The sequence below is a fragment of the Homo sapiens genome, chromosome 3, assembly GCF_000001405.40.
Source record: "Homo sapiens chromosome 3, GRCh38.p14 Primary Assembly".
Classification (NCBI taxonomy): Eukaryota; Metazoa; Chordata; class Mammalia; order Primates; family Hominidae; genus Homo; species Homo sapiens.
In genome coordinates, this window is record NC_000003.12 from 125,985,607 (window position 1) to 125,999,939 (window position 14,333).

The 14,333-nt window shown below is 40.5% G+C and overlaps 1 pseudogene across 2 annotated transcripts in view; it reads right to left on the reverse strand.

Moving 5' to 3' along the window:
• The window catches only part of ALG1L1P (ALG1 like 1, pseudogene), a 61,266-nt pseudogene extending 56,335 nt beyond the window's left edge, over window positions 1-4,931 (reverse strand). For both annotated transcript variants that reach the window (NR_171197.1, NR_171196.1), the window contains exon 1: window positions 4,816-4,931. The product of NR_171197.1 is annotated as an ALG1 like 1, pseudogene, transcript variant 6 (transcript). The remainder of the gene's footprint in view (window positions 1-4,815) is intronic.
• Window positions 4,932-14,333: the final 9,402 nt, after the last annotated feature.

Here is a 14,333-nt window from a genome sequence, read left to right on the forward strand (position 1 = left end):
ACATGCAAATAGTTTCTTTAGGAGGCGATCCCAGGAACAGGGAATAGGGATAGGAAAAGTAAGATATTATAGTGATGGGAAGAAAGCTAATAAATGGTGTGTTATCCAGCCAGTTACCCCTGTACTCCAATACTGCTGGGGAACTCTGGGAGACAGCATAGAACACATCTCAGAGTTATCCCAATCGAAGGGTGAGGAAGCTCTTCATCCATCACTGGATAATCCCCACCTGTCGTTGACTGAGGGCTTCTTCCAGGTGAATTAATGTTCTGCCTTTCCAGCTTGCCTCAGCTTGCTTCTTTTGCTCCAGGAAAAAGGCTCTCGGCCAGGAAGTCATAGATGATCACAATAAGAAGCCACCTGCATCTGCTACACTGCCTTACAGATATTTTAATACAACAAAGTTTTAACATTTTTTAATCACTATTAATGTTTCTTTCTTTGGGTCACGCAGAAGTCTTCAGGGTCTGCAGGGCAATAAGTGACCATCATTGTGCTGTATTAAAATTCACAACTGACTCACAAACATGACACATTGTCCCCAACCATTTCTTCCTTGTGATGGGATCATTCCAAAGGGGGTCCCTTGATTCTTGCTGCCAACAGATCCTTGTCAGACCCATCCCACTGGCTTTCCTATCATAATCAGCAATATCTATACAGTCCTAGCATGACCCCAGTTAAACTGTCAAACGAAGGCCCTTGCAACGTATGGTTTGTATTTCTCCTTTAAAAAAAATTTCAGGAAGCAATAAAATCAGGATTTTATAAAGCAAAAACAGTGGGCTCTTTCTTTCCTAAATTAAGCTATTTTGATTAAAGTGAAGACTGCAGATATATAAGCTTCAGTGGGAAATGCAAAGATTATGGCCCAATTCCATTTTCTCTATGCTCCATGCCCTTCCTCTCCTTGATGCTATTCCATCAGGGACCTACCATCCCTAGTTAACCAACTACTTCCAGGATCACCAGGGCCCTGCAACAGAAGGAGCTGGACACCCCAATGTGGAAGGCTGGTTTTGAATTAGGTTAGAATAGGAATCTTAACCTGAAATCCTTGGAGAGGCTCCTGAGTGCCTCTGATAACATTATATATGTAACCATGTCTCCAAAATGTGCTCATTAGCATTTTTCTGAAGAAAAAATTATAAGGCTTTGAGCAATTTCTCAAAGTTGTATATTATCTCAAAAGGCCAAGAACCTTTGGGTTCAAAATAGCCCCAGAGAGCACTAAATGGCTTGAGGAAAGACAACAGCACAGTCTCTCAGATCTTTCCAAGCAGAACTGAGCTCACGCTCCCAACATGTGACTTCTTATCCACAGCCTCTTACTTTTTGAATCTTAGATCCTGGCCATAAATCGGTGTTTTTAGTTTAGATCTTCATATACTTTCAACTTTGGTCATTTCCTATAAACTGGAACATGGTCAAACCTGAACAGAGACTTTCACACTTCAGAGGTGAGCCAATTGGCAAAGTAATTGGTTCAATGTGCTGAATTATGAAAGACTGGATAGACAAGCAGAGTTGTGTATCCATGATACTAGAAGGACTAAACCTCCGGACCAAGCTCAAAGGGCTAGTCCTGGATAATCCCGAGCCTCGGACATTCAAGTAGCTGTCAGCCCCAATGCACCAAAGCAGTCCAAACAATAGTTGATTCATTGGTTTATTCAACAAATAATTCAGAAATTCCTACAAGTGCAAGGATTGTGCTAGGCACTGGGGATACTGCTCTGAACAAGGTGAAGTCCCTGCTTTTAGAGAGATTAAATTATACTTAGGAAGACAGACATTACATAACTAAACACAAGTTTATAATTGTGAGAAACGATGCTACTACGTAGAAGCATGGGGCACACAGCTAGTTTGCAGGGGCAGGATAGAGAAGCTTTCTTGAGGAAGTAATTTGAGAGCAAGTTCGGAAGCCACAGGCAACTCAGAAAGGTGTATTTGCAGCCCACACATCTTTGCCACGCTCCAGACTCAACTATACAGTAGCTAACTTGACATCTTTTCTTGGATGACGCCAAAGTACTCCCTAATTTAACAAATCCAAAAATGACTTTCCTGGTTTGCATTTTTTTCATAATAAAATGTTGGAGAGAAATGAGTTCATAAGCTTCCTTACTAAATGTGGACCTCTCCCACCATCTGCCAAGATACAAAACCCAGAAACCAGGGTCAACAAATACCTCCCCCTGCCTTACTTTCCAACTCTATCACCAAGTCCTCTCCATTTTATCTCCTATGCATCTCTCAAATATGTCCTCTTCACTTTCCCTCACCACCACCTCCCTTAGGTCCCCTCATCCCCTCCCAGCAACCAATATATTTCATCTGGACTTTCTATCAATCTGGTCCTCAAAGGGAACAGAAGACAATCTAGAGTTTTGAAGATAATTAAAAGTTTTACAGAATGGACAAGGAAAACAACAAGGGGGTTGAGGCACCCAGGGACTAGCAAACCGTTATCATCCCTAAGACTGAAGAGACAAAGAGAAGGACATGTTATTACAGTGTGAGAAGACTGGAGCTCCAGGGGCTCCCCTGATGATGCAGAGGGCCAGTGCATCAGCCAAATGGTGCTGAGATAGCAGGAATATCCCATTCTCTCCCTCTTCTATCGACTAAACAGAACCTGAAGCTGGAGGGCATGTCTGACTGATGTCGGTCCAAGGGGAGGACAGAGAATGGATGCAGGAGGAGAGAACTTGCTCACACCCATACTTGCCTTTCCCTCAAGCATCCTCTATGCTAGTGATCAGCAAACTTCTGTAAAGGCACAGATAGTAAATATCTTAGGCTTGGCCGGCTAGGTGGTCTCTATCACAAATACTCAACTTTGGCAGTTGTAGCACAGATAATGTGTAAACACATTAGTGTGACTGTGTTCCAATAAAACTTTATAACACTGAGATGATTTTCAGGTAACTTTTCACATCACAAAATATTATTCCTTTCACTTAAAAAAAACTACTTGAAAATGTGAAAATTGTTCTCAGGCTGTATCCAAGAATGGCAGACTGAATTTAGCCAGGGACTGTAGATTTCAGATTCCTGCTCTACACTACAGCCATGGATCTTTGTAAAACCCCAGTCAGTTCACTGTGCCCCCTGCTTGAACTTTTACATATTCCCAATGGCCTTAGGATAATAAGCCAAATCATGTAGCCTATGAGGACTGTATAGTCTGGCCCTACATACATTTCCATCCCCACTGTCTATACTTCAGCAGCAAGAGCCTCTCTGGGTTTCTCTTTCTCAGCATCATGCTGTCTCCACATCTTTAGAATACTCTGCTCTCCACTCTCTAGTTCATTTGCAGATCTCAGCTCACTGCAACATTATTTATAATAGCAAATAACAAAATGAAAAGTGGGGTGGGGGCATAACATTCCCAACACTAGGGAAATGAATCATGGAACACCAGGCAGCCATTTTATAACTGTAGATTAATGAGAAACAATGTTGATTAGATATTAAGAGAAAACACTCATGTTACAGTAATACCTATTATTTCATATTGTTGTAATACATTTATACATATATACGTAGGTGGAAAAAATCTTGAAGGGAATGCACCAAGCTGTTCAGAGTGATAACTCACGGGCAATGGGGTTATGGGTGGTCTTTTCCTTTTTTGCTTATCTATATTTTCTAAAATAAACATGTATTAAGAAAAGTCAACATGAATTTTTAAAAACCAACAACTAAAAAAAAACCCCTTAATTTCAGGTGAATATGTTAGAAAGTTATGAAGTTATGTGAGGGCTGGGGAAGGAAAGGAGAGGTTTTCACAGTTTGATCTAATTCAAAACTAAATCTGTGAAATACTCAAGTTTCCTAAAATCACTCAGGATAAGTGTGTGATATATTGGTGGACATATTTTAGTTCCTGGGCTTTGACATTAATTGTAACAGATTTTTAAAGGGTAGCTCTTTTCTCCATTAAAAAGAAACGAGGCTGGGCATCGTGGCTCACGCCTGTAATCCCAGCACTTTGGGAGGCCAAAGTGGGCAGATCACCTGAGGTCAGGAGTTCGAGACCAGACTGGCCAACATGGTGAAACCCCGTCTCTACTAAAAATACAAAAATTAGCCGCCTGTGGTGGAGCGCATCTGTAATCCCAGCTCCTCAGGAGGCTGAGGCAGGAGAATCCCGCTGGAAACCGGGAGGCGAAGGTTGCATTGAGCTGCGATGGCACCACAGCACTCCAGCCTGGGCGACAGTTGAAATGGAATCAACTGAGTTCTCCCTCTTCAACTTGATTTAAATCATCAACCCAAAACCCAATTCCTAAACCCCAAAACCAATGACTAAAATCCTCATTAAAATGAGTGCACATGCCAATACTAAGAATGTTGTGTCATTCTTCATCAAAAGTAATTACCTCAACACAAGAGGAGACAAGTACGCATGGAAGTAAACCCAAAATCCCAACTAACGAGCATCGTTCTGAGATCAGTGGCCACAGGGAATAATTCTGAAATTGGCATCACATCTACGCAAGATAACAACCTGGAGGTCTTATTTTTATAGAATATCAAGAACAAAATCATCCAAAAGGCACACGATGCCAAACTAAAAATAAAGAGCGAAAATCCAAAAAGTTGCGCGCAATTCCTTCTGAAACCTATCCGCCTCCTACTCCTGTCCCTTCCTCTGGCGCTGGCGGGTCCTCGTCCCGAACCCCCACCGCAAGCCCTGGAACGGCTTCTTAACCCTTTTCTCGGCGGCTCCGCCCCGGCCCCGCCCCAGCCATGCCTCGCCCCCGCCCCGTTTGCCGGCTATTGGCTTCTCCCATCCCCTACCAGAGGGTGACGAGACGGGAAGCCGGGAAGCCGGGAGGGATCTACTGTGCACGTCCAAGGCGCTGGGCCTAGAGCAGGAGAAAGGGTTTGGAGGTGCGTCGGAGACTATGAAGTGCGGCCTTCGGCGTGATCCTTTCCGGAAGCGGAAGCTCGGGGGGCGGGCCAAGAAGGTCCGGGAGCCCACGGCGGTTGTTTTTTCTGTGAGGCTTCACTTACCTCGGTCTGGGCTTCTCTGAGGCTGCGAGAGATGGTCATGTCCGGATCTCAACTGGGCCGGGTGAGGGCTGAGGACCTGAGGAGTCCACTGTGGGGATGGAGAGGGACAGGGGGGTTTTCGGGCCAGAAACTTGTAAAACTCTGCTCGAAAAAAGAGACCGTGCGGCGACATTTAAGTGCTGGGACAGAGGTGCAGGAAACACCTAATCTTACCTTCGTAACACAGCCGCTTGGTCTCTAGATGTGTTTCTGTTTAAATCGTCGTAGCCCTCTAGAGCGCCGGCTTTCGGGTCAGGCCGGGGTTCAAGTCCCAGCCTTCGCCGCTGGGTCCAGTGACTTAAGCTCTCTTAGCTTCAGGTATTTGCACATTGGGATTCCACTACTTTTTACTTCTCGGAACTTACTATTCCTAAGCTGCAAAATAGGCAGAAACAAGCATAAAATTCTGTCTCAAAGAATTGGGAAGGTTAAATGAGAGAACCCGGTAAAAACATCCATCACACAATTGGCGTAGACATGCAACAGAATTTAGTTCCTTTGAAAACACGTAGTTTGCCACCGTCTTAATGATAACAGCAGCTAACATTTAGATAGGACTTATGTGGCAGATACTACTCTTAAGTGCTTTTATGTATTACATAGAATAACCCATTTCATAGTCGCAATATCCTTATGAGGTAGGTACCATTATCCGTCTTTTACACATGAGGAAATTGAGGGCTGGAGGGTTCAAATAACTTCCTAACGGTTACACAGCTGTGGAATCAAGATTCAGACTCACAAAGCTGATGCCAGAGTCCATTCTTCTTTTAGACATTTTACCTAGTAGATGTATGACTTTGAACAAACCACTTTCCTGAAATTTAGGTTCCTACCTCACAGAAATAATAACAGGGTATGGATTAAGTGGAAATGAAAGACCTTAGTACACTCTAAGTCATTCTACAAGGGCAGTATTATCTTGTACTTCTTGGTAGGAGATATGACTACCAAGAAATGCTTATATGATTCTCAAATAGCAAAATTAAAAGTTTAATGATAATAACCCCATAGAAGTAAGTGTAAAATAAAGCAAACTGATTCTCCTGTATTGTGATCAGGACACTCCTTTTGGAGGGCAGCTTTGCAGTTTGTATCAAGAGTTATTAAATTGCCAATAACCTTTCACCAAATAATTTTCCTTTTAATCCTAAATATGAGAAGGCTATTTTCAAGAGGTAGAAAGGTTTATTCCAGGTTTTTTTAATTATGAAAAATATGAAACAAACCAAGACCATATTATATTATTTCCACTGAAAGAAATATTATACAACCATTAAACATTTTTGAGTATTAATATGAAAAAGATTTAAAAGTAGAAAACACAAGATTCAAAATTGCAAATATCTAGTTAATATGACTAAGTAAAAAATGCATATGAAAAAAGATTGGAAGCCCCAATAGCAAAGAACACATCTATTACCTAGATCTTGGTTTCCAAGTACCACTGTCCACTCAGGAGTCATGGTGTCTTGGAGAAATGACCAACTCCAGGGCTGAGCAGGGGTAATATAACAAGAGCATGGATACATCAAACTAAAAAGCTTCTGCACAGCACAGGAAATGATTAATGGAGTGAAAAGGCAATCTACAGAATGGGAGAAATCCAAGCCATGTATCTGATAAATAATTAATATCCAAAATACATATAAGGAATTTCTGTAATTCAAAAGCAGAACAACACATGATCTGGTTAAAAAATGAAAAAAGGATTTGAATAGACATTTTTCCAAAGAAGACGTACAGAGGACCAACAGGTATATAAAAAGATGCTCAACATCACTAATCATCAAGGAAATGCAAATTAAAACCACAATGAGCTATCACCTAACACCTGTTAGGATGACTTATTGCAAAAACAAAAACAAGTATTGGCAAGGATTTGGAAGAATTGGAACCCTTGTACACTGTCAGTGGGAATGTAAAATGGTATAGCCACTATGGAAAACAATATGGAGATTCCTCACCAAATTAAAAATAGAACTATATCACCCAGCAATTCTACTTCTGGGCATTTATCCAAAAGAATTGACATCAGGATATAGAAGAGATATTTGCACTCTTGTGTTCATTGCAGCACTATTCACAATAGCCAAGATGTAGGAACAACGTAAATGTCTATCTACAGATGAATAGATAAAATATGGTATATACATACAATGGACTATTATTCAACCTTTAAAAAGAAGGAAATAGCTGTCATATGCAATAATAGAGATGAACCTTGAAGAGATTATGCTAAGTGAAATAAGCTAGTCACCGAAGGACAAATACTGCATGATTTTACTTATATAAAGTATCTAAAATAGTTAAAACTCATAGAAACAGAATAGAATGGTGGTTCCTAGGGGCTGTTAGAAGAGAGAGATGGCGTTGCTATTCAGCGAGTATAAAGTTACATTTATGTGAGATGAAGAAATTCTTGAGATCTGCTGAACAATATCATGTCTATAGTTAATACTACATTTTGTTGAGAAGGTAGATCTCATTTTAAATACCCTTGTGGCAATTATTAAAAAAAAAAAAAAGATGAACTGGGAGCACCTTGTTGTAGAAAGTAAGGAACGGCTCAAAAAGTAATGGGGGCATGTTAAAATGATACAGGAGTCAACTTCAAGGGGCTCCCAGTGACCAAATTTGAGACAATTTGAGCATCAAAATAAAGTGATAATAAGGGATCATAACCCACTGAAGAAAATAGGAATCAGTGAGTCCCCACTAACAAGGAAGAAAGAAAAAGTGCTTCCCTAAAGTTGAATGCCAACTAATAAATGTAGAAGGAATTACATAGGTAGAAAATCACCATTTGTCAAACAATTGATTCAGCCAAGAATCATCAATGGATGCTAAAACTATGGGGTGAAAGTTTGATGATTGGGATATCTATATAGTCTCAAAGTGTCTCTTCACAAAATGCTTAACAACTACAAAGATAAAAGTAGAAACTACAATAAAAAACCTGGCAGACACCATCTTAGGTAATAAAGTTTACATCATCAATAATGGGACAAACTGACATGTGTCTATTTATTGTATTGAGAAGAACATACCTCTTTTGTGGATTCCTGCCAAAAATGCATGACCTGTGTCTAATCATAGGTAAACATCAGACAAATCTAAATGTCCAGAGGGACACTGTACAAAATAACTGGCTTATTCTCTTTAAATATGTCAAGGTTATAACAGACAATGAATGACAGCCTGAGGAACTGTTATAGATTAAAGGAGACTAAAGAGCTATGACAATTTAATGCAACATGTGATCCTGGATTTGGCGTGAACCAGAGGGATTTTTTTTTTTTTTTTTTGGTAAAGGACAGTATTGGGATAATTGGCAACATGCGAATAAGGTCTAAACATTAGATCATAATTCTGTATCAATGTTAATTTCCTGGTTTTGATAATTATACTGTGGTTATATTAGAGAATGGCCTTGTTTTTAGGAACTATTTAGGCGTAAAGGAGTAGTATATCTGCAACTTAACTCTAATGGTTCAGGCAAAAAGTAATGCTGTGTATATATATTGAGAGAGAACATGGAAAATGGAAAATGTCAAGGGTCACGGAATCTGAGTGAAGCATATATAGGACTTCTTTGTTCTATTATTTCATAGTAGAAACTACAAAAAAAAGGGAAAGGAATTGTTCCAATATGATAGCTACTGTCTCAAGGTGCTTTTATCATGGGTAATTTTCTTTACCAGATTTTCTATAATATAGCCTTGTGTATATTTTTTTGAGAAACGCCATATATAATCTTATAGTTATGCCAGACATGTACCTTAGACAGTGTACTTTAAAAAAATTTTTTTTCAGCTGGGTGCGGTGGCTCATGCCTGTAATCCCAGCAACTTTGGAAGGTTGAGGCAGGCGGATCACTTGAGGTCGGGAGTTCAAAACCAGCCTGGCCAACATGGAGAAATCCTGACTCTACTAAAAAATACAAAATTAGCCAGGCATGGTGGCGCATGCCTGTAATCCCAGCTGCTCGGGAGGCTGAGGTAGGAGAATTGCTTGAACCCAGGAGGTGGAGGTTGCGGTGAGCTGAGATTGCGCCATTGCACTCTAGCCTGGGCAAAATAAAGAGCGAAACTCTGTCTCAAAAAAAAAAATTTTTTTTTTTGAAAGAATAATTGTGGTAGTTGTTTTTGGACTCGATCCAGGGTGTAGTATTATAGTGTCATGGCTTGGATTTTTTATTATAATTCCAGCGAGGACATTGACATAGATATACCAAAGGGAAAGACCCTGAGAGTGTGACACAGAGACCAGTGGAGTGATGTTACACAAGGTCTTATTTCCTACATTGTTGGTTCTCACTGCTGGCTTCATGACCCTCCATCATAATCCAAGTTATCTCAAGAAGTATAACTCTTATCAACCCAATTTTTAAAAAATGTATTCTCAGTGACATTCTTAGAAGGATGGAGCACATATTCAAGCATATAATAGAATATATAACTTCAGAAAGTTTGGTAGTTACTGCTCAAAGCTATCTTGAGATGAAATATGTAAATATGTCAAGAGAAATTATAAATGAAACTGCCAACAGTGACTACATCTGGAGGGTGGAACTAGGGGGAATCAGGGACTTTAACTCATGTTTATTTAAAATTATTTTGAATAGAGATTATATTTATCTGATATAAAGTTATTAAGATATAAAATAGTATACCATGGAAAGTGTCCCTTCTTGCTCTGTCCCCCAGATACTCAGTTTCTCTCCCCAGAGGCAACCGTGATTAACTGTTTCTGGCATAACTCCCAAGATATTGGATGCAGGTAAAAACAAATGCCTATTTTTTCCTGTTTTTCTACACAAAAGGTAATGCATCATGTCACTTTTAAAACAAAAAAAAAATTAAGAAAACAACAGTGCTATGTAAGTCTAAAGAGAAAGATTAAGACAATGAGATGTAGATAAAGAGAAAGGTAGAGTTTTTATTTGCTGGTCTAATCAGGCATTCTAAAGAATGTACATAAAAGGAACCAGAGTTAAGAACTCTGTTCTGTATCTTGAATTAACTTGTATATTTCAAAGAATTTGGGACTATAGAACATGTTTAGGGGATTAATATAGTCTGAACTTAGTGTAGTAGTTACTTCTGGTATAAAATATCTCAATTTCTTTTTCACCTTAAGTAGACTTAAGGTGACACCTTAAGTAGACACATATTAAGCAAATATGTATTGTTTGCTTGACATTTTACATAAAATAAATTTAATATATGAATTAAATTCTAATTGTGGATTTTTAGGATGTGTCATATTAATTAAAACAGTGAATAATATGGTACATACATACAATGGAATATTATTTGGCCTCAGAAAGAAACATTTTGACACATGCTACAATATAGATGAAGCTTGAAGACATTATGCTAAGTGAAATAAGCCAGTCACAAAAGGACAAATATTGTATTATTCCATTTATATAGTTTCTAGAGTAGTCAAATTCGTAGAAACTAGGATGGTAGTTGTTAGGGTCAGGGAGAAGAGGGGATGGAAAGGTACTGTTTGATTGGTACAGAGTTTCAGTTTGAGAAGATGAATAAAAGAAAAAAATGACATCGGATTGCTGGCAAGATGGCTGAATAGGAACAGCTCCAGTCTGCAGCTCCCAGCAAGATCAATGCAGAAGGTGGATGATGTCTGCATTTCCAACTGAGGTACCTGGTTCATCTCAATGGGACTGGTTGGACAGTGGGTGCAGCCCACGGAGGGCGAGCCAAAGCAGGGTGGGGTGTTGCTTCACCCTGGAAGTGCCAGGGGTCGGGGAATTTTTTCCCCTACCCAAGGGAAGCTGTAAGGGACTGAACCTGGGGAACTGTGCACTCTGGCCCAGATACTGCACTTTTCCTAATGGTCTTCGCAACCTGCAGACCAAGAGATTCCCTCCAGTGCCTACCCCACCAGGGCCCTGGGTTTCAAGCACAAAACTGGGTGGCCGTTTAGGCAGACACCGAAATAGCTGCACAAGGTTTTTTGTTTGTTTGTTTGTTTTTTCCCATACCCCAGTGGTGCCTGGAATGCCAGTGAGACAGTGAGACAAAACCATTCACTCCCCTGGAAAGGGTGCTGAAGCCAGGGAGCCAAGTGGTCTGGCTCAGTGGTCCCACCCCTGTGGAGCCCAGCAAACTAAAATCCACTGGCTTGAAATTCTCGCTGCCTGCACAGCAGCAGTCAGAGATCAACCTGGGACACTTGAACTTGGTGCAGGGAGGGGCATCCGCCATTGCTGAGGCTTGAGTAGGCGGTTTTACCCTCACAGTGTAAACAAAGCCACTGGGAAGTTCAAACTGGGCAGAGCCCACTGCAGCTGAGCAAGGCTGCTGTGGCCAGACTGCCAGATTTGCCCTCTCTGGGCAGGGCATCTCTGAAAAAAAGGCAGCAGCCCCAGTCAGGGACTTTTAGACAAAACTCCCATCTCCCTGGGCCAGAGCACCTGGGGAAAGGAGTGCCTGTAGGCGCAATTTCAGCAGACTTAAATGTTTCTGCCAGATGGCTCTGAAGAGAGCAGTGGATCTCCCAACACAGCATTCGAGCTCTGCTAAGGGTCATACTGCCTCAAGTGGGTGCCTGACCCCCGCATATCCTGACTAGGAGACACCTCCCAGTAGGGGCTGACAGACACCTCATACAGGAAAGCTCTGGCTGGCATCTGGCAGGTGCCTCCCTGGACGAAGCTGCCAGAGGAAAGAACAGGCAGCAATCTTTGCTGTTCTGCAGCCTCTGCTGGTGATACCCAGGCAAATGGTCTGGAGTGGACCTCCAGCAAACTCCAGCAGACCTGTAGCAAAGGGGCCTGACTGTTAGAAGGAAAACTAACAAACAGGAAGAGCATGTCCACTCAGAGATCCCATCCAAAGGTCACCAACATCAAAGATCAAAGGTAGATAAATCCACAAAGATGGGGAGAAATCAGTGCAAAAAGGCTGAAAATACCAAAAACCAGAATGCCTCTTCTCCTCCAAAGGATCACAACTTCTCACCAGCAAGGGAACAAAACTGGATGGAGAATGAGTTTGACAAACTGACAGAAGTAGGCTTCAGAAGGTGGGTAATAACAAATTCCTCTGAGCTAAAGGACCATGTTCTAACCCAATGCAAGGAAGCTAAGAACCTTGAAAAAAGGTTAGACGAATTGCTAACTAGAATAACCAGTTTAGAGAAGAACATAAGCGACCTGATGGAGCTGAAAAACACAGCACAAGAACTTCCTGAAGCATACACAAGTGTCAATAGCCGAATCAATCAAGTGGAAGAAAGGATATCAGAGATTGAAGATCAACTTAATGAAATAAAGTGAGAAGACAAGATTAGAGAAAAAAGAATAAAGAGGCACAAACAAAGCCTCCAAGAAATATGGGACTATGTGAAAAGACCAAATCTATGTTTGATTGATCTACCTGAAAGTGACAGGGAGAATGGAACCAAGCTGGAAAACACTCTTCAGGATATTATCCAGGAGAACTTCCCCAACCTAGCAAGACAGGCCAACATTCAATTTCAGGAAATAGAGAGAACACCACAAAGATACTCCTTGAGAAGAGCAACCCAAGACACATAATTGTCAGATTCACCAAGGTTGAAATGAAGGAAAAAATATTAAGGGCAGCCAGAGAGAAAGGTCAGGTTACCCACAAAGGGAAGCCCATCAGACCAACAGTGGATCTCTCTGCAGGAACCCTACAAGCCAGAAGAGAGTGGGGGCCAATGTTCAACATTCTTAAAGAATTTTCAACCTAGAATTTCATATCCAGCCAAACTAAGCTTCATAAATGTAGAAGAAATAAAATTCTTTACAGACAAGCAAATGCTGAGAGATTTTGTCACCACCAGGCCTGCCCTACAAGAGCTCCTGAAGGGAGCACTAAACATGGTAAGGAACAACAGGTACCAGTCACTGTAAAAACATACCAAATTGTAAAGACCATCGACACTATGAAGAAACTGCATTAACTAATAATGGACAAAATAACCAGCTAGCATCATAATGACAGGATCAAATTCGCACATAACAATATTAACCTTAAATGTAAATGGACTAAATGCCCCAGTTAAAAGACACAGACTGGCAAATTGGATAAACAGTCAAGACCCATCGGTGTGTTGCATTCAGGAGACCCATCTCACATGCAAAGACACACATAGGCTCAAAATAAAGGGAGGGAGGAATCTTTACCAAGAAAATGGAAAGAAAAAAAAAAGGGGGTTGCAATCATAGTCTCTGATAAAACAGACTTTAAACCAGCAAAGATCAAAAAAGACAAAGAAGGGCATTGCATAATGATAAGGGGATCAATGCAACAAGAAGAGCTAACTATCCTAAATATATATGCACCCAGTACAGGAGCACAAGATTCATAAAGCAAATTCTTAGAGACCTACAAAGAGACTTAGACTCCCACACAATAATAGTGGGAGACTTTAACACCCCACTGTCAATATTAGATCAATGAGATGGAAAATTAACAAGGATATTCAGGACTTGAACTCAGCTCTGGAACAAGCATACCTAATAGACATCTACAGAACTCTCCATCCCAAGTCAGCAGAATATACATTCTTCTCAGCACCACATCACATTAATTCTAAAATTGACCACATAATTGGAAGTAAAACACTCCTCAGCAAATGCAAAAGAATGGAAATCATAACAGTCTCTCAGACCACAGTGCAATCAAATTAGAACTCAGGATTAAGAAACTCACTCAAAATCACACAACTGCATGGAAACTGAACAACCTGCTCCTGAATGACTGCTAGGAAATAATGAAATTAAGGCAGAAATAAATAAGTTCTTTGAAACCACTGAGAACAAAGTCACAACATACCAGAATCTCTGAGACACAGCTAAGGCAGTGTTTAAAGGGAAATTTATAGCACTAAATGCCCACAAGAGAAAGCAGGAAAGATCTAAAATCGACACTCTAACATCACAATGAAAAGAGCTAGAGGAACAAGAGCAAACAAATTCAAAAGCTAGCAGAAGACAAGAAATAACTAAGATCAGAGCAGAATTGAAGGAGATAGAGACACAAAAAAACCTTTAAAAAATGAATCCAAGAGCTGTTTTTTTTGAAAAGATCAACAAAATAGACTGGTAGCCAATTAATAAAGAAGAAAAGAGGGAAGAATCAAACAGACACAATAAAAAATGATAAAGGGGATATCACCACTGATCCCACAGAAATACAAACTAGCATCAGAGAATATTATAAACACCTCTATGCAAATAAACTAGAAAGTCTAGAGGAAAT